The sequence below is a fragment of the Homo sapiens genome, chromosome 18, assembly GCF_000001405.40.
Source record: "Homo sapiens chromosome 18, GRCh38.p14 Primary Assembly".
Taxonomy (NCBI): domain Eukaryota; kingdom Metazoa; phylum Chordata; class Mammalia; order Primates; family Hominidae; genus Homo; species Homo sapiens.
In genome coordinates, this window is record NC_000018.10 from 75,448,091 (window position 1) to 75,469,571 (window position 21,481).

A 21,481-nucleotide genomic window follows, 5' to 3' on the forward strand; every position below is an offset into this window, starting at 1 on the left:
TTGTTGCAAGTTTTGCAAATGTGACCTTCAGTGCACATGTGTAGGGCTCCTTCCAAGTCTTAGAAAGATTTGTGCAAGTGAGGCACCCAGAAACTTGTGTCATTAATTTAACAATAAATCTGCTTTCATTTACAAATTATTTTAAGGGTCTATTTTTATTGTCTATTTTTTCTTGGTTCTGTTTCTAGTATGTCTACTAAATTTTGATTGAATGTTAGACATTACGTAAAAAAAATTATCAAGGCTGTGGATAATGTCATTTTCCTTCAGAGAGCATTCACTCTGTCCTTTTTGGCGGGTAGAGAGTTGGGGAAGTTTATCTTAATCTAATCAGGAACTGAATCAACTGGTGGCAGAAATACCTCCAGAGATAGGAATGGAAATCTTGGGATTTTTACTAGGGATGTTACTTCCTGGCAGGCTCTGAATTTCAATTGCTATCTTCTCAGAATCATGAAACTGCTCCACATCCCCCTTTTCCATTCAGCATTTTTCTGCTTAGCTTCTTAGATCTTTGCCTTATGAAGTTTAAGAATTCAGCAAATGATTAGAAATGGAGAGAAAGTTGCTTGTCTCTAGATGTATATTTTTGCATAGTTTTGACTCTTAGAACCATAGTAATGTTTTACATATTCCCCAAATAAATGAGTAAGTGAACATATAAAATTAATCGGAATATAGGGGGAACTCAAAATAGAATACAAATAGTAACATATGAACCCAACTGTACTGTAAATGAGTAAGTAAACAACACTGAAATTAATGGTGAAGAAAATAACTAACATTAATAACTTTGGAAATTACTATTTTTCCTTTATTATATAAAGCTAAAGATAAAAAACTTTACAAAAATACCATTGTTAGTAAATCTTTTTTTCCCCCACAGGGTATAGGTTAGAAATTCTGTAACTACTTTATGTGCATATTAGGTTTGAACAAATAAGTATATATATTGTAGATGGTGAGAACCAGGCTTATCACAGTGAGGGGAAATAGATACAATAAAGAAATGGGGAAGACTAAAATAAAATGTGTGGTTTTTGATTATGAACTTATGATTTTAAATATTTATACAGGTAGATAAAATGTAGATATATATATATTACATCTACATATATGTGTACATATATAATATGTATACATATATTTCATAGCTCTGTCTGCTAAGAGGAGAAGAAATTACAACTCAATAGCACTGAGCACACAGAGTCTAGATCTTGCTTTCTAAACACCATTTCCAATAAAAAGTACCATGGCTTCTTGGAAAAGTGATTGATTTCAGAAGTGAAGCAGAGACATCATGTGAGCCTGGAACACCTTACAGAACAAGAAAATAAGGAAGAGCTTGAAAAATGGTGGAAACAAAAGGGGCACAGAACTCATCTGACAAAGCTCTCAATGGCTAACACTGGAATAATCTGAGCAACAAAATAATAAAAAATGACATATTAAATTACAATCCACAAAATAAAATAAATATTAATGAGTCTATGCTGAATAAAAATGAACAAATTAATAAGTTGGAGAGAAGTGACAACTCTTCCTTATAGAAGAATTAAAATTAATATAGGTAGAAGAAATTAGGGAAATAAAAAGTACCCTTAGGCAAACCTCAAAGTAATAATTAATGCAGGGAATAACCATTGATGGATACTGAACACTTGGGCAAAAGTTGGAAGAGAAACAGAATATTTGCATATACTCAAAGATTCTTTCCCAAGATATTTATCAACTACCAAGAGATAAATTATAATTTTGCAGTGGAGAAATATGGTAGACAACACTTTAACCAAGTGATCAAATCAACACTACCAGTAATAAGAGATATTGACACTAGGGCTGGGTATGGTGGCTCAAGCCTGTAATCCCAGCACTTTGGGAGGCGGTAGTGGAGGGACTGCTTGAGCTTGGGAGTTTGAGGTCAGCCTGGGCAACATGGTGAAACCCCATATCAACAAAAAATACAAAAATTAGTCAGACATGGTGGTGCACATCTGTATTCCCAGGTACTTGGGAGGCTGAGGTTGTAGGATGGCTTGAGCATGGGAGGCAGAGGTTGCAGTGAGCAGAGACTGCACCACTGCACTCCAGCCTAAGTGACACAGTGAGACCCCATCTCAAAAGGAAAAAAAAAGAGAGAGAGAGAGAGAAATTGACATTATATATCTCCTGATACAGCACACTGGAAAGAGCACACCACTTCTGTTGAATTCTTGCCAAAAATGTATAACCCCAATCTAATCATAAGCAAACTTTAGATGAATAAAATAAGGAGAGATTCAACAAATTAACTGACTGGGTCTCATCAAATAACTCAAGGTCATGAAAGATGAGGAAAGACTGAGGAACCATCACAGAGTGGCGCTGTTTAGGGAGTCACAACTCAGTGCAGTGTGAATTCCTGGGTGGGTCCAGGAGCAGAAAATGGACATGAGGGGAAATTTGTATAAGGTCAGCATTTTAGTTAATTATATTATACCAATGCTAATGTCCTGGTTTTAATAAGTGCACTATGTTCATACAAGTTGTTAATGTTAGGGCAATGGTGTTCAACCAAGAGTGATTTTGCCTTCCAGGGGACATTTGGCAATGAGTGCAGACATTCTGATCTTCATGACTGGGGAGGGTGCTACTAACATCTAGGAAATAGAAGCCAGAGATGCTGCTGGGGGAAGCTAAGTGAAGGGTATATGTGAACTATCTGCACTATTTTTGAAACTTTTTGTGAGTCTAAATTATTTCAAAATTAAAAGTTAATATATAAAAATAGAGTTCAGCAAATGCCTTGAGTGGGAATCCTCTGCATTTTGAGCCTTTTTCTGAGCTTTTATTATTTCAATATCTTGACCTTTTGAGATCCACTTGTGTTAGACGTTCCAAAGTCAAGTTTTTCTCTCCAGCATTGTGAAGTGACAACCAAATTCTCAGCTGAATTATACAAATCTCAGCTGCAGCCTTCTGCTTGGATTCTCAGCCTCTTGCTTGGCATCAAGAATTGGCAAATGCAGCCTTCACTTCTTTCACTGAGTTTCTCTTCTCCCCAAGGTCATGGCCCCTCGAGTCCTGGCAAGTCCAACAAGCATTTTTTAAAAATTAATCCACATTTCCTATTTGTGTGCAGTGAGACCACTGATCTTCCACAAACTATGCAATCACGGCTGAAAGTAGAGTCTTGTTGCCATTTTATATAACAGCTTTATTGGTGCATAATTTACATAACATAAAGTTAGCTTGTTTAAGTATACAATTCAATAATTTTTAGTACATTTACCATATTATGCAACCATAACTATGATCCAGTTTTAGAACATTTTCTTCACCCCCATGCATTTTAATGCCCTTTTACAGTTAATCTTCATTTCTATCATAGCCTCACACAACCACTTATTTATTAATACTTTCTGTCTCTACAGATTTGCCCTTTCTAGACTTTTCATATAAATGCAGTCATACCATATGTGGTCTGTTGTGACTGGGTTCTTTCACTTAATACACTTTTGAGGTTCATCTATTTAATAGTATGTGTCAATACTTTGTTTCTTTTTATTGCCAAATAGTCATTATCGTATGGATATACAATATTTTGTTTATGTATTCATCAATTGATAGATATTTGGATTGCTTCCTCGTTTTGGATATGAATAACGCTGCTATGAACATTGGTGTACAAGTAAGTATTTGTGTGAACGTATCTTTTTATTTTCCTTGAGTGGATACCTAGGAGTAGAATTGCTGAATCATAAGATAAATCTATATTTAACTTTTTCAGAAAATGCTAAACTGTTTTTCAAAGTGGCTGAACCATGTTACATTCCCACCAGCAATATGCAAAAGTACTGATTTCTCCATATTCTCACCCAAACATGGTATTATCTGACTTTTCAATCATTGTGATCTCAGAAGGCATGAAGTGGTACCTCACTATAGTTTTAATTTATATTGACCTAATGATTAATAATACTGAGCATCTCTTCATGTGTTTATTGGCCACTTTGTTATCTCTTTGGGGGTAAATTTCTATTTGAATCTTCTGGCTTTGTTTTTTTTTTTTTTTTTTTTTTTTTGACAGGATCTCACTTTATGGCCCAGGCTGGAGTGCAGTGGTGCAATCACAGCTCACTGCAGGCTTGATCTCCTGGGCTCAAGAGATCCTCCCACCCCAGCCTCCAGACTAGCTGAGACTACAAGCAGGCAGTAGCATGCTTGGCTAATTTTTAAAATTTTTTGTAGAGACAAAATCTCACTCTGTTGCCTGGCCTCATCTAGGACTCCTGGGATCAAGCAACCCTTCTGCCTCGACCTCTTAAAGTCTAGGATTAGAAGGCATGAGCCTCTGTGCCTGGCCTTTTTACCTAATTTTAATTGGGCTATTTATCTTCTTAGTATTAAGTTATGAGATTTTTATATGCTCTTAGATACTCTGGATACAAATCTTTTTTAGAGTATATGATTTGCAAATATTTTCTCCCAGTCTGTGGCTTGTCTTTTTGCTCTGTTAATGGTATACATTTGGAAGTGAAAAGATTTTAATTTTGACTAAGTTCAATTTATCAACTTTTTCCTTTATCACTTGTGCTTTTGTTGTTTATCTAATAAATCTTTGCTTAAATAAGGTCACAAAGATTTATTCTTACGTTTCTTTAAGGAGTTTTACAGCCTTAGCTCTTACATTTTGAATTAATTTTAGTGTGTGGTGTGAGGCAAGGGTCTACCAAGGTCCACCATTTTCCATGTAGATATCCAATTGTTTGAGCATCATTTGCTGAAAATCTTTCCCAACTGGATTGCCCCTGCTTGATTTTTTAAGTAGGATTTTCACTTCCATTTTATTTTCTAATTTGTTGTCCTGGCATAAAGCAGACACCTACTGATATATTATTTTAAGTTGTATTTAATCACTTTACTAAACCATCTTAACTTGATTTTTTTATATAGTAAAAATAATCTCCAACTAATGATAATTTCATATATTCCTTTCCAATAATTGTATACTGCATATATTGTTATCTTATTTCATTGATTTGGAATTCCAGAGTGATACTGGAAAAAAACAAACAGATTAATTTGGTCATTCTATCTTATTCCTGACTTCACTGGAGTATCTTTAGTATTTCATCATTTAGCATAAAATATTTGCTGTGAGTTTTGGAAGATATTCCCCGGACTGTTTAGGACATTTCTTACGAGCCTAATTTACTATATATTATTAAAAACAGGAAACGTTATTAAATTATATTTAGTGCTCTTCTTTTTTTGCATCTGATGAAATTCTTGTGTGACTTTTCTCTTTTTAACGCCCAATATAATCATGTTAACAGACATCCTAGATATAATTTATTTAGTGTGGAAAAAACTCACTTTTTCAGAGTATTTTCCTTTTTTTACTTTGTCAGATTCAATATGTTAATAGTTAGAACTTCTTTAACCTATGTTAATAAGTGAGGTAAAACTATACTTTTCAGTTTTTCCTATATTTATCCGGCTTTGTTTTTAGTACTATGTTTGCTTCATACATTTATTTGGAAGGTTTTCCATATTTTTCATGCTATAAGAGTTTAAATGACAGAAGAAACTATGTATTTTTTTAAGTTGATAAATAATCTGGGCCTGAAGGCTTTTTGTGATAGATATTTGATACGCTTTTAAATTTCCTCTAAAATGATTGATATAATAGGTTTTTTACTGTCTCCGGCTTTTTGGAGATAAGTTTGGTAAGATGTTTCCTAAAAATATTTTATTTCATTTGGTTTGTATGTTCAAATGATTGGCATGATGCTATGCATGTTATTTGTCATGAGTCTAAAATTTTTATGGTTACCTGTTTATTATCCTATTTTCCCATTTTGTTGTTGGTAAAGTATAGTTATATTCTTTCTCTCAGATTAGTTTATTGTCTATTTTATTAGTTATTCCGAGGAACTTCTGTTTTGCTGTTCATTAATTTCTGGTGCTTATTAACTTTTACATCTTCATATTGCTACTCTTTAGCACCTAACACTTGCTCAAAAGAAGTTTGTTGAATGAATGAATGAAATCAAAACACAGTTTCCTCGGGGAATATAGGAACTCAAGAAAGCATGTTTTTAAAATGGAGAAAATGGTAGAAGCAGAGAAGCAGAAAAAGTGATGTGTAAGCAATTCTAAATCTCCAGACATCAACCCCCAACTTATTTTCATATCTAAACTTTTAATAAACATTAAAATCTTTCCTTTTGCAGAGTGGTGCGCATTTTTACCATATAAGAATCAAATGTTGCATGTATTTCGATGTTTACATTGCTCTTGTTTTGAAAAATACCCAATCAAATCATCATTTATAAGTAGAGTTACTTGAAAAGCATTCAAACTTTTGGAGAAACTCCCAAGGACCTTGGAATTTGAAAACACAATAAATATTCTGCCGCGGGTAAGGCACATTTGAAATGGAATCAAGCATGATAATGCAACGAAGCTGCGAAGGAAGGCCCGTGCTTGTTTCTCTGCCAAGTCAAAACTTCATCGCTCATGATTCAGTGGCCTCACACTTTTCAGCTCCCTTTCAGCCTCTGGAAAAATGGCATTTGCAGCTGTCTCCCTGACCTCAGGGCGAGGAGAGGAAGAAGGACCCGGAACCCTCGCCTGCCCAGGAACAGGGGGAGGCTGCCACGTTCTGTGCCCTTATTGCTAACTCCCGGCTGCCCACTATGCACCCTGACAAAGCCTCTGCTGGCTCATGTTTCCCGTTTTTGGAGCTACCAAGAAATCTCCCTTTGCTTTGTCTCCATTTCCAGAGTCCGTCTTCAACTTCCCCGAGACGCTTTCAGGGCCAGGGCAGGGGTCAGGAACCAGGCAGCCTCGGTGGGTGCTTCAGCCCTGACCCAGGCCTCAGAGCCGTCAGGGCACCAGCAGCTCCCCTCTGTAAACCTCTCCATGGGGAATTTTAACCTAAAATAATTTTCTCTCTTTCTCTCTTTACAACTGAAGAAAAGTACTTCTTAGAGCGAGCTTAACTACCTACCTTTAATGTTTTACAGTCAGGGAAAGCAGTACAAAGCAACGTGTTCAAGTAGTTCCTTTACTAGCGTTGATAGAATCCTAAAATCTCAAGGGCCTCTGGTGAGGAATGAAATCGTATCTCTGCTAAGGCTCGTGTGTTTTACCAGTTGATGGGTCCAGGCAATGCCATGGTCAGCACCACGGGGCACCCTGCAGGGCCGGGGGAGTGGGGATGAGGGGCGCAGTGAGGAACGAATGGGGAGCCGCCCGGGCCGAGGCCAGGTGCCCTTCCGGTCAGTCCTCCAGGAGCTGGTTGACTTCTCAGCATCCTGATTCTTTGGAAAGACAGTTTAAAAAGTTGTTTAGTTTCCTAGGACATTCTCGCTGCGACTGTTGAAAGTCGGACAGCACCCGCCTTGTGCTCACCCCGCCGGGATACACGGGGACGGTTCCTTTCCAAGGAGGCCCGGGGCCGCCTCTGCGCCGGGACAGCCTGGGAAGCCGCGCAGGCCTGGCCGACTTCCCCTTCCCAGCCCCGCTGCGCCCTGCGGGGCCCTGTCGGCGGTGGGGGCTGCGGACCCGGGAGCGCGCGGCCGCGCTGCACGTGCAGGGACCGGTAGGCGCCGGGGTCAGCGCCAGCGTTTGATGTGCGGCGGGGAGCGGGCCGAGCCCCGGGAGGCCGCTTCGCACCTCCCAGTGTGTCCGGGTTGAGCGCGAGGTCAGGAGGGGACGCAGAGTTCACGGCGAAGACGGATCGCGGGGGCTCGTCCCGCCCGGGTTGCGCGCAGCGGGGGCCGCGTGATGGATGGGCCGGGCCGGGCACCCGGGAACCCGCGAGCGCGGGGCTGGGCTCTGGGCTGCGTCCGGGGGCCCCGACTTGGTTATTGATCGGCCCAAGCGCAGGAGAACTGACTCTATAATGCATCGCCTGACCAGGAAAAGTGTTTGCTTTTGTGGGAGCAAAAGACAACTTTCTGCCCCGCCAGAGCGTTGCTAAGTGAGCGGTAATGACCACGCTAGAAATTTCATAGGGAGAGGCTAATGGCAGGCTGACTCTAAAAGTGCTTTTAAGTGCAACTTCTGTCTAATCCCTTGAGGGGGAAGAAAACATCGGCGACTAAGAAAGTTCAAGTTGTACAGGACCCGGGTTTTTGGGGTCGGGGTCACTTCTGCTCTGCGTGACTTTGAAGAGGAAGACCTGCGGTTTTTTCCAGTGGATTTTCACACGTGTTTTAAAGAGAACTCCCGGCTCCTGAAATGAAAGGCCCGCCTGTAGGGTTTTGCTGCCTCCCCTCTGCCCACGCCCCACCCCCACAGCCTGGATCAAAGCGATCAGACAAATTATTCAGAAGTAACACAGCCCTGAAATGTTCCTAAACGTGACTATTTGAGGCGATGAATCAAGCGTGTTCCCTCCGCCCCCAACCCACCCCCAGACCGAAAATGTGACTCTGGAAACGGACTTGCAGAGCTGGCTTCGGTTTATATGCGGTTCTGACCCCTGTTGACTTTAGGACAAGCCTTCCTGTTTCCAGTACTGCAGCATCGCCAGACAGCCTCGCCATGCAATCGGCTTTCCAGATACGATTTCACTCCTCACCAAAGACACTTCTTTAGGGCGATTTTAGGATTCTATCAACGCTAGTAAAGGAACTACTTAAACACGTTGATTTGTATCGCCTTCCCTGACTATGAAACATTGAAGGTAGGTAGTTAAAGCGTGCTCTAAGGAGTACTTTTCTTCAGTTGTAAAGAGAGAAAGAGAGAAAATTATTTTAGGTTAAAAATTTCCACAGAGAGGTTTACAGAGGGGAGCTGCTGGTGCCCTGACGACTTTGGGGCCTGGGTCAGGGCTGAAGCTTTGAAGCTGCCTGGCTCCTGACCCCTTTCCTGCCCCTGAAAGCATCTCCTGGGAAGTTGAAGAGGGACTCTCAGGGCTGCTGTGGTCAGGCCTGAGGCTGCCCTCTGAGTCTCCTGGGCAGAAGGGCTTTTTGCCAAGAGCACGTCTAGGCGAGCATGGTGCTAGGCACTGTTGCCAGGGCAGAGCCTGAGGGGCTGCAGAGCCTCAGAACGCCCACGTACTCCATAGGAGGACTCTCGTAGGAGAGCTTACAACTTCTAGGAAATGAAATTTCTGCATAAAAATAAAACCATCACACCAAAGCTACTAGTGCAGCATGATTGATATATGCATTGGTGTATACTAATCACTGACAGGCTGCCTTAAACCACTGCTAACATGTGGATTCTAGAGTCATTTCATAATTTAGTTTCCATAAATGTGAGCATATTTCAGTCCCCTTAAGGTCTCAACTTATGATAATATTATAAGTTACATTATACTCTATTTGCTCTGTTATAACCATTGTGAATGTAGGTATATTGGGGACATAATTAGTCTTTAGTGCTTTCTAGCTCAGTATTTATAATTAAATAGTTTGACATAGGTATAAAATATAGCTTCATATTTTTCTATCCACGTGTTGCATTCCAGTTCAAATTTACGAAAGAACAAAATATAAACTTCATTAATTTGATTATTGTTGTTTAAAAAATTATTCGTTTTGAGTCATTGGTGGCTAGCAATATAGTATTTTAAATACATAAATATATTTGAATTTCACAATCTTCCTAGAATAGATTGAACCTCACAGTCTTCCTAGATCTAAATTGAAAAAGGATAGGCTCTTCCTTAAGCTTAAACTATCTGTGCTTTAAAATGAAAACATAAACAAGATCCTGCTTTAGGATTTTACTTGTGGTTCTATCTTAGGCATAGAAGGATTTATTAAAAGGCGAAGAAATCCTCATATAGGCTAAAGTGAAAAAGACCAACAGTGTCAAATGTTGGTGGGAATATGGAGCAACTGGAACTCTCATACCTGACTGGTGGGAGTGTGAAATTGTGCATTCACTTGATGAAACTGCTGCAGTTTCTTAACAAGTTAACCATACTTATGTTTTATACCTTATGGCCCAGCAATTCCACTTGTAGGTATTTATCCAAGAGCAATAAAAACGTATGTCCACAAAAGGCCTTATATCAAAATGTTCACAGCAGCTTTATGCATAATAACAGAAAATGGAATCAAACCAGCTATCTAAAAACAGGAGAAAAGATAATCCAATTTTGTTTATCCATCCAGTGGAATACTACTCATCAATAAAAAAAATATAAACTCCTGATACACCTCATGGATGGATGCATAGATGGATGGATGGATCTGAAAAACATCGTGCTGAATAAAAGAAGCCAGACATGAAAGAGTACGTACAATATGATTTCTTTTATCTGAAGTTCTGGAACAGGTAAAATTAATCTATGGTAACTTAAGTCAGAACTGGGAGTACTTCTGGTGGGAGGATTTAGTGGGAAGGGGCATAAAAGATCTTCCTGTGTCTTGATAGAAGTGTGGGTTTTACAAGTGTATGCATTTGTAAAACTCATTGAACTGCATGCTTAATATTCGTGCATTTCACTGTATGTAAGCCATTCTTCAGTAAGATACATGAAAAAAGAAAGTCATATAAAAGTCATAATATAACAGAAGAGGAATTCTGGAGTTCTTGTGGAATATGCTATGTCAGAAAACTGCTAAAGAATAAGTGGAGTGATTTTTTAAAGACAAGGAATCAGATAAATGTAAGAATTTCAAAATCAAAGAATGTGTTTAGTGGCAGAATTGCAATATTAATTATTCCTTAGAGTTACATTCCCCACAATGTGTTGTTTGGCATATTAAAAGGCATTCTATTCAAAACGATTCTATAGTCATAAATTTGGGAAGCTGTAGGTTAAACGGAGTTATATAGGATTTCTTCCCTAGTACTTCTCAGACTCTTTAAAATGCGCATCCTTAGTGTGGGCCTTGTTATGGGTTGAATTCTACCTCCCCAAAAAGGTAGGTTGAAGTCCTCATACCTGTTGATATGATTTTAATTGGATATAAGGGTTTTGCAGATGTAATTAATTAAGGTCATACTGGATTTACGGTGGGCCCTTCATCCTATATGACTGGTGTCCTTGTAAGAGTAGGACAGAGACAGAGAGAGGGGGCGGGGGAGAGAGAGAGAGAGAGGGAGAGACCAGGGAGAGGATGCCCATGTGATGATGGAGGCAGAGATGGGAGTGATGCATCTATAAGCCAAGGAGGGCCAAGAACAGCTGGCAAACACCAGAGGCTGAAAGAGACGAGGAAGGATTCCTCTATAGGTTTCTATATCAGTTCCTTCTCATGCTACTAATGAAAGACATACCTGAGACTGGGAAATTTATAAGGGAAAGAGGTTTAATTGACTCACAGTTCAGGAAACTTACAATCATGGTGGACGGGGAAGCAAGCATGTCCTTCTTTACATGATGGCAGGAAGGAGAAGTGCAGAGAGAAGGGGGGAAAGCCCCTTATAAAACCATCAGATCTCATGAGAACACACTCACTATCACCAGAAAAGCATGAAGGCAATCACCCCCATGATTCAATTACCTCTCATTGGGTCCCTCCCACCACAGGTAGGAATTATGTGAATTACACTTCAGTATGAGATTTGGGTGGGGACAGCCAAACAAACCACATCAGCTTCAGATGGAGCTGGGCTCTGTTGACATCTTGACCTCTGATCTCAGACTTCTAGCCTGCAGAACTGTGAGAGAATAAATTTCTATTGTTTCAAGCCGCCTGTCTGTGGTACTTTGTTAGAGCAGACACAGGAACCATACAAACCTCTAGGAAAAAGATGTGATGATCTCACGTTTCCCAGATTGGTCTGATCATACAATCTTCTGCACTTTCCATGGCATGTCTGGAGAGTGTTTGGCCCGCCCAGTGTGGTAATCCCTGCCTGCTGGGACGGCCTTTCCTTCAACTATTCATGTTATTCTTGCTTACCTTAAGAGCAGTGTGGTATGCAGAATGATGGCCCCCAAAGATGTCCACATCCTAGTCCTGGAATGTGGGAATATGTGAGTTACATGGCAAAGAGGAATTAAGGGAGCACATGGAGTTAAGCTTGCTAATCAGTGGACTTTAAAATACGGAGGCTATCCAGTTGGGTCTAGTGTAATCATGAGAGTTCTTAAAAGTAGAAGAGGGTAGTTAAAGAGATTGACAGGGTACTTAAATCAGAAGACAGGATTGCAGATGGAGGAAGGGGCTGCCAACCAAAGATGGTGGGTGACCTCTAGAAGCTGGAAAAGGAAGGAATGGATTCTCCTCTCCAGCAAACAAAGAAACACACCCTGCCTACAGCTGGATCTTAGCTCAGGGAGACCCGTGTTTGATTTCTGACCCACGGTACAGCAAGATGATAACTCTGTGCTGTTTCAAGTCTGTAGGTTTGTGGTAATTTGTTGTAGTAGTAATAGAAAGCCAACATAAGCACTAAGTGAAATAATTCTTTCTTCATTTTTTAGAACATTTGACTTTTGATGTCAAAAACTAGAATTTTACATTTTTTAGAATTTTGTTCCAGAATGTTGTCCATATTGCATAAAGTTGTGTCATTTCCTACTCAAACAAAGACTATCTACCTGAATGCTTGCAACACGACAAGAATAATAACAGGTAAAACCATATTTCCCCTGGTGGCTTTTTTTCTTTTCCTGGAAAATATTTCATATATCTGTGGTATGGTTGTAATCTTCCTGTTTTAGATCAACACTTGTGTTCATGCTGCTATTTTCAGAAGCTTGAGATCATCTAAATCATTTAATGTTATTGGAAGTGTAGTGATGTAGACATGGTGTTGCCTCCCTCTAACTCATCCTGAATTTGCAGCATGATCGTGTTAGAGCTCTTGCTCCGCTAGTCTCCCTTTTCCACCCTCCCCTCCCTCTGCTCCAGGTTCCTTATGATTTGAGCTCCTGGGTTTCCTGGTCTATACAAACTTCAGCATCTCTGTCTACCAGTCGTAGGATATAATGACCCCTGTCTTAGTCCATTTGGGCTGCTATAACAAAAGGCCATAGGTTGTGTGGCTTATAACCTACAGAAATTTATTTCTTACAATTCTGGAGGCTGGGTACAGTGCCTGGTGAGGCCCTGCTTCCTCACTGTGTCTTCACATGGCAAAAGGGGTGAAGGGGCTCTCTGGTGTCTTTTTATAAGGACAGGAATTCCAATTATGAGGGCTTCACCCTCATGACCTAATCACCTCGCAAAGGTCCCGCCTCCTAATAAGATCACATTAGGGTTAGGATTTCAACATATGAATTTTGGGGGGACACATTCAGCCCATTATAGGGATTTGATAGTCCCCATGGTTAGTATCTTACCTAATCAATCTTACCTAATTACCCCTAGATGCAAGATACCAAGGCATTTAAATATGTCTCACAGAGTTGGGTTTGACAGTCAAATAAAACCATTAGATTTGTAAGTTAAGTGTTAGAAAATTATAACAACTATTCCCCACCTTCCTTCATGAAGGTAGTGGAAAACAGAAGCAAGTCCAAGTCACCTTGTCCTAAATGCAAATGAATTTCTCAGAAAATTGAAGAGGATGAGAATAATGCTGTGAACTGAGATGCTTCTCAACCTTCCCTCCCTCCCTCCCTCCCTCCCTCCCTCCTTTCTTCCTACCCTCCTCATGGCAAAGGAGAGAGTAATTGCCCAGCATATGCAAGCAAAGCCCATGGCAGCCCGGAAAATGAAGATTTTTTTTTTTTGGCACAAAATTCATAGCGATTTGACATCAGGATTCCAACATGTCTAGCTGTATTTTAACAAAAAAATAAAGATTCAAGTAACTCATTAGCTAACTGGCCTGACCTCCTAGCCCTTCATCATGTTATCTGTGTGGCTTGGTTTTCCAGCCTGCAGGTGAGGCTCACCACGTGGCAGCTCCTCTTAGATAAACTATCAGCCAGGCACCCAATAAGCATGCAATTGAGGTCATTGAGAAAGTAGGGAACATGGACACATGGACACATATGCAACCATCCACACATGCACACATATGCAACAACCTACACATGTACACGATACACAGGCAATGCAAAGTGGCCTATGCATGCACACATAGATGCCCTTGGCTCCACTGGTTGGAGGAGTAGCTACACTGTGAAAGGCAAAAGAAAAACATTTAGTTGCCCTCAGGCAGGGAAGCAGAGTTAACTTGATTGGAGCTCCCCTCTACCTGAGACTCTGGGGAAGGTCAGATACACACACCCATGTTTACTGTGCAGATCCACCGTCACTTTTCCCATTGAGGGTGATGCCAGTGGGCCAGTGTTGTTGTTCTTCATTGTTTTTCCATGCTTCGGTGGTAGATGGGGTGGAGCCACCCCTCTGGGGAAGCCCAGTGTGCTTAGACATGGCGGGAGCAATCTCTTCCTGGGCAAGAGGGCGCTGTTACTACGGGATTAGCCTGTCTATTATTTTTGGGTGTGCACAGGGTGACAAATTAGGAAGGGTGTGCTCAAAGGTTATTCAAATATTTCAAATAAAGCATATTTGAGCACGGAAAGGCCAGGGAACATTAATCAAATGTCAGCACCAAGACACTTTGTAGGCTATTTCTGGTATGTGTTTGCTGAGCGGCAGTCTGGCTTAGGCTCTGTGGGACATGTGATCACCCCAGTGTGAAGAAACGTGGAGCATTATGCATGGGAGGCCCTGGAAGCACTGGGAATTTGCAGATGGAGTGCAGTGGACAGGATGTGTTCCGAAACAGCCCGGAGTCATTCCTCTGAAGCAGATACAAAGGGATGTAGGATTGTGTTGACTGACAAGGCCAGAGTCTATTTCCATTCCTGCCCCTCTTGGGAAGTTAGATTAAAGGGGGAAATATTTTGCATAAAAGTGATTTTAACAGAGTAATGACTGAAATGATAATATGCCGGCGATGGGCATCCATCACAGTAATGAAATAGCCTCCTATAGGAGTCCTGCAACTGGCCGTTTCCCCCCAGAAGCAGTGTTCCCTCTCCACATCACCCTCTTGGATCCTTTCTGATCTGCCTCACTGAGGCTTCCTTCTTCAGAAAGCCAAGCGAGCAAGCAATATTGCCTTTCTCTCCTTCAGCTCCTATCAAAACAGTGCAGCAGCCCCAGTCACAAACTCAAGAGTCTTTTGACAGCAGCAATTAAGCAACTTAATTAATGAGTGAATAAAAACGATAATATTTACTGAATGGGAGCATCCTGTTTTGCATTTTTATTCAAACTCTGCACCTGAAGAACACCACTAAGGAAAGCTCCCCATCCCCCTGTTGTAGAGACAACCCCCTCTCTGTCTCTCTCTCTCTCTCTCTCTCTCTCTCTCTCTCTCTCTTCCTTTGCTCTGTCTCTCTCTCTCTTGCTTCCTTTGGTTCTGGCCTCATAAACACCCCAAGGGTAAAACACACACAGTGTAAGATTCACACAAGGCTAATCCCTGTCCTCTTTCCGGGGGAATGCACTTCTATCTTTGTCATGGTCTTTGTTCACCCCTAAAAATCCTCATTCATACATGAAGGACAATTTCATGATACTTTTCTGAGGCTGAACTTTACATCAAAGTGGGTGATTAATTACTGATAAGGGTATAATAAAACATTAATGCATTTTGTAATTAACCAGCTTAGGAATGACATCTCCCATCGCTTCATGAGTGACATGTTCACACACACACACATACACACACAGAACTTTTTTTAAAAAATTCTTTATTTGGCTATTAATCTCAGCAGTGCCCTCAATACATTACATTCTTTTTAAAAGCCACATATATTTTCCTCAATGAAATATCTAATCCATCTTGAGTGTAAGGAAAGCCCATACATAATTATTCCGTCGTGACAGACAGTGAGCTTTCTCGCTATTATTTTTGATGGTGCTGTCATGGATGCCAAATGTATGTTGTGGTGGGAGCCAGCCAGAGTCGGGAACCCACCTGGAGAGCGGCTCCTTTCTTCTCTCAGGAAAGGTTCCCCACGCCTGACAGCCCCACCATTCTGGTTAAGCTTAATTAGTCAAGAGAGAAAAAGAACTGACTTCGGAGTGTTGTGTTACGTTTGGGGCTCCCCCCTTTTTTTCCCCTTTCCACTCAAAATTTGACATTCTTTGGAGAAGATGAAGTTCCAAGTGGGATCTGTGTTGGCACTTCCCACCCTCTCGTCATCCTCACGTGGGACCCGCTTCTCACGGCCCATCTTTTGTCTACCAGGGGCCTCGCAGGACTCTGCACAGCCCGCACAAAGGACGTAGGATTCTGCACTGGCAGAACTGGATGTAATGTTGCCCTGAGAAACATTCATTTATTTCAGAGTGAAACCCGTTAAAATGGAAGTGTGTAGGATTTGGGTTGGCTGGATGCAAGCTTCCCTCTGCAGCGGGATGAGGTACGCTGGGTCCCCGACATTCACAGCCTCCCACTTTCATGCCCCTTGGCTTCTCAGGCCTGTGCCTTCCCGCATGCACACTGGCCTTGGGCAAGCGACTTGTCCTGGCCAAGGGGACGGGAGTCACATCCATACTTGCCGGCTTTAAAAATGTGCTTTTGTGTTTCCGCTTGCTGTCCTGGAGGCTGCCACTACCAGGAGCACGCTGGCCTGCCGGCGGGAGGAACAGATGCCAGAGGAGACCTGACTGTGTCCTCAAGGCCATGCCCCATCAGCCATCCCAGCAGAGCCCACAGCCACCCACAGAGGAATGAGGATCCCCATCCAGGATCACCGGAACTGCACAACTGACTCACAAACGTGTGAAGAGTAATGGGTAACGTGTTGAACTGTGAGCCTTTGAGCCTGGGGAGGTTTGTGATGCAGCAGTAGCTCCCAGACCCTTGAGGCTCTTCGGCACGAAGGTGCTGAGCCATGCACCTATGCAAAGCCAAACTCTGCACTAGGCCTACTGGGGTGTGCAGAGAGAGAGGGCTGAACAAACTGCGGTTCCACCCAGAAGACCCAGAAGAACATTTACGGAGGAGTCAGTGCAAGAGGCGAGAGAGCATGCGTGAAGAGGCTCGTTCTTGTGGTGTAGAAAAGGAGGCCAGAGTCTCCCAGACCACGATTCTTTTCCTTTAGGTGTTTCTTGGGCATTTTCAATCTTAAATCTCTTCCCATGTTATTGAGATTTCTGATTGAATGTCCCCATTTTCCCTCAGACAGCAGGCCGTGTGTGAGTCACCACCTCCATCTTTCTATGTCCTGGGTGTGGGCCCAGTGAAGGACAGTTATGGAAATTTAGAGAGAAGAGGTCGCAGGTGTGGTGGGGGTGGTGAAGCTTCAGAAGAGAAAAGAAGCATGGTGGAGAGGGTGGACTCTGGAGGCTACTGCAGAGCTCTCCCCCAGGCTATGAGGGGGCATGATGGTCCCAATAGCCTGAGTCTGTGTTCATTTCAACTGGCTACCTTGTGACGAGGAAGATGGCCCAGGTTCCCAGTGGGAAATCTATGGTTATCATTAAGAACGCAGGGCCTGAGATGAAACCTGGCAGGTGAAAGGCACCTGGTTTTATGCAACCTGGTTTTGCAGAAGCCTGTGGGAGGGGGCCCAGGGGGGAAGGGAGCAGAGGGCAGTGTTGGCTCTGGTTCCCCCACCAGGCAGGTGGGCTAGCACCTGGGTAAGGGGCTTTGCATCTGGAGCTGGTCATGCCTCAGTCCAGATCCTGCCTTTATCAGTTGATGGGCTGTTACCTGCCAGTGGTTATGGTGAGGACTAAATTACGGAAAGTCATCAAGGATCTTCATTCATTGCCCACCACAGAGCAGGCACTCAATGGAGAACACTCACCACCATCTATGTTGTTAATGTTGCATCTGCAGCCCTTGGTTTCCTGGAAAGACTCTACAGTACAGGGGCAGGTTAGGGGCCACAACCAGGAAACAAGACACATCTGAGAGAATGCATGGGAGCTTATGGAAGGATGTACAAGGCTGGGTGTGGGAATCCCGGCACTTCGGGAGGCTAAGGTGGAAGGATCACTTGCATCCAGGATTCAAGCCTAGCCTGGCCACGTAGTGAGACCCCAGCTCTACAAAAAATCAAAAATCAACTGGGCATGGTGGCATGTGCCTCTAATCCAAGCTACTCAGGAAGCAGAGATGGGAGGATCGCTTGAGCCCAGGAGGTTGAGGCTGCAGTGAGCTGAGATCATACCACTGCACTCATTCTGGGCAACAGAGTGAAACCCTGTCTCAAAAATATAAATAAATAAATAAATAAATAAATAAATAAAGAAAGAAAGAAAGAAAGAAAGAATTTACAAGAGGGGAGTTTTAGTGGTTGAAAAATCATTCACTCATTCCAGGAGCAAGAGCCTTGTGGGTTTTCTTCCTGTTCTTGCCTGGGTTATCTCTACTGAACCAAAGAATCCTTGTTAGGAATGCTCTGGTGGTGTCAATCAATGCGTTTATAAATCATTTGCTTTTACCATGGAAAAAGATATCACAAAACAACACAGCTGTAGTGCAGGTGCAGATGACCATGGAACGGCAGCCTGGCGTTTTCAGTAGAGCACTGGGCAGCAGAGTCCCTGGGCCTCGGAACCCCGGCCTGTTACCACCCAACACCATCCCTGGGCAAAATGCGAAACTCCCATCAGATCCATGAATGGAAAATGGGCGTAATTATAATTGCACCCCACTCTCTACCTCTCAGCTAAGGTGAGAAATGAATATGAGGATGCTCAGTGAAAATGCTTTGAAGTCTGTGAAATGCGAAGCAAATGTGAAGCGAGAGGAATAATAAGGTTCTAAGGACCCACACTTGGGCGTTTGCTCTGAGCTGGCCCCTGTCCTCCACACTGAACCTACAGCCTCTCCTCTCACCTAATCTGCACAAAAATCTTACGAAGCAGACACACTTACCATGCTGGCCTTTCCGTGAAATTTCAGGTCTTAGTGTCGCCCATTACTGGTGGCATTTCATGCCACAAGTTGGGCCATCTGCACCTCCAAGCACAGGGTCACAGAAGACTTTATCCCGTCCCTTGGGCTGACTGAATGGTTGGTTTGTGTCAACCCCTGTTGTCCCTTTGAGCAACTCGGGGGCAATGGTTATGGGTAGGGCTTAAAAAACCGTCTGGCTGCAAACCCAGTGCTGATACGAACAAGGCCTAGTCAGGCACTAAGTGTTTTGTGTTCCCCAAAGAGATCTTAATGAAATCCCAGCATGCCACTCACTCCTACACTTAAAATACCTTTTAAGTGTAGGAAAGAAAGTGCTTTCAACCCCACCCCAGCCATTTGGATTCGGAGACTCCATTTAAGATGCACAGCTTTCCTCCAGCACAGGGGCTGGGTATCCAAACGCAGAGCCTCCCCCAGACTCTCTCTAGGCTTAGCCTGGCTTGGTGGGCTCAGGAGGGATTCAAGATTATTTCATCCTTTATGTCCATTCGATGACAGTTTATCATCATTGCCACCTCATACTCTATTGTAGCCAAACATCATAACCAGCACCATGTGAACTACGTCACTGACGCCACATTCTTTTTCTCGGCTGTCACTAGGCTCAGGTCAGGACAGCCCTCCCGGCTGACTTCCGCGATACTTTCTGTATCTCCTTTTCAGTCTGCCCTAAAATGACAGCTGGACTTCCGACAGTGGTTTCTTATGTGGGACACATGGCTCTTATACTCTGGGTGGCACGGATTCCTTTATTGCCAGTGGCTTAATTTTCCCAGATCTATTTCCATGCAGACAGTGTGAGGTTGGACTTCATGCCTCATGCTCCTGATTGGGGCTCGGAAGTCTAACCCAGCTTCCTGCAGTGCCGCCCCCAGCTTATTCAATGCCCAACCTGCAGGTCCTAAGTTGAACCCGCACACTGCACGCTCACCTGGTCTGTGCTGCCAGCTGCATTGGAAATGGAAGCATTAAACACCGTTCTCCACTGTCAGCCACCTGCTAGCTAATGAGTGACATCATTTAACACTGTTTTGAAAAGAGAGATTTAAAGTTGTTTTGAAAACTGAAGGAAAAATACAAATGTTTGAGTGTTAAACATTTTGCCCAAATACTAAAATGTGAATGTCTTTTTATTGTGACAGTTCACAGGAAAGCGGGCTATAGCATGCCTGTGCTTGTCAATGAAAATCTTAGCACTGAGTTTGGTAAACATTCTGGCAGTCGGGAAGCCACTTAAAAATAAAGTTTAAAGAAAAGAAAGAGAAGTGTTCACTTTCCTTCTAATTTTCCCAGATACGCTCAATATTCTGCTTTATTTTTTAGTATTTTAACTAAAATAAGAAAACTCGGATTCTACCTCTATGTGTCCTATGATTGTTGTTGTTTTCTCTGATTATAAAATACAGGTTTGCAGCAGAAAACTTGGCAAAACAGAGATATGAAGAATAAAATAAAAATCACCTGTAGTTCTAAGCCATGAGAATAATCATATATATATTCCCTAGGTATTCTGAAGCATATGTATTACAGTCCAAATATTTAAAAACAAAATTTGGGTAATACTTTAGATAGAGAGTTGTATTCTGATTTTTTCTATTAATATTATAACTTTGAAACGAGGGACTTCACCATTGCTTTTATTTTTCTTTGCTATGTAAGTACTTATGTTCTTTATGAGGAAAATAAAAACTATAGAAAAGAAAGATAAGAAAATAAAATCAGTAATAATCCCCTCACTTACAAATGACTGCTGTTAACATTTTAGTTTTTTGGTTTCTATCTATTTATGTGAAATTTGAATGAAAATAGTATAATTTCGCTGTCTCTATATTGCTTGGTAACATAATGATTTAACTGTATAATAAATAGTATATTACATGAATATTTTGAGTAATAGTCTGTGTGATAATTTTTATTCGGTGTGTGGTGTTCCACTACATAAATGTATTATAGTTTATTTCACAAATAAACTCTTATCAGAAACTTATGTTGTCGTTAATCTGTGATTTATAATGAAGCTATAAACATAACTTTTAGCTAAATATTTATGGATACCCTTCATTATTTATTTCCTAAATAGTAGAAGTAGAATTTTATGGTCAAATGATAAAGACATGATTTTCTTACATTCAGGAGATATTCTATTATATGGCTCTACCATAATTTATTTATTTATTTTTTATTTTTTTTTTAGTTGAGACAGAGTATTGCTCTGTCACCCAGGCTGGAGTGCAGTGGTGTGATCTCAGCTCACTGCAACCTCCACCCACCAGGTTCAAGCAATTCTCCTGCCTCAGTCTCCCGAGTAGCTGGGACTACAAGCACATGCCACCACACCCAGCTAATTTTTGTATTTTTAGTAGAGATGGGGTTTCTCCATGTTGGCCAGGCTGGTCTGGAACTCCTGACCTCAAGTGATCCACCTGCCTCAGCCTCCCAAAATGCAGGCATGAGCCACCATGCTTGGCCTTACCATAATTTATTTAACCATCTTTTCATCTTCTGACATTTAATATATTGCAATGAACATCCTTGTACCAAATTTTGGTACTGATTATAGATTGTAAGTGTAGTTTTCTTGAAGGGAATTATAGGGCCAAAGAAGAAGAAATGAAAGGTTAAAGTGGAAATTGCCAGGTTGCCTCCCTGTAGAATGGGAGTAATCATACAACTTATG

At 41.9% G+C, this 21,481-nt stretch overlaps 2 long non-coding RNA genes across 2 annotated transcripts in view; one reads left to right on the top strand and one right to left on the bottom strand.

The window, feature by feature from the left end:
* Window positions 1-7,563, bottom strand: part of LOC124900405 (uncharacterized) — a 22,951-nt gene extending 15,388 nt beyond the window's left edge. Inside the window, exon 1 of the long non-coding RNA XR_007066472.1 lies at window positions 6,998-7,563. This is a non-coding gene — a long non-coding RNA (uncharacterized LOC124900405). The remainder of the gene's footprint in view (window positions 1-6,997) is intronic.
* LOC107985177 (uncharacterized) lies at window positions 7,513-20,791 on the top strand. Its single transcript, XR_001753505.2, has 3 exons — window positions 7,513-8,680; window positions 10,122-10,242; window positions 16,479-20,791. It is a non-coding gene; the product is annotated as an uncharacterized LOC107985177 (long non-coding RNA).
* The last annotated feature ends 690 nt before the right edge of the window (window positions 20,792-21,481 follow it).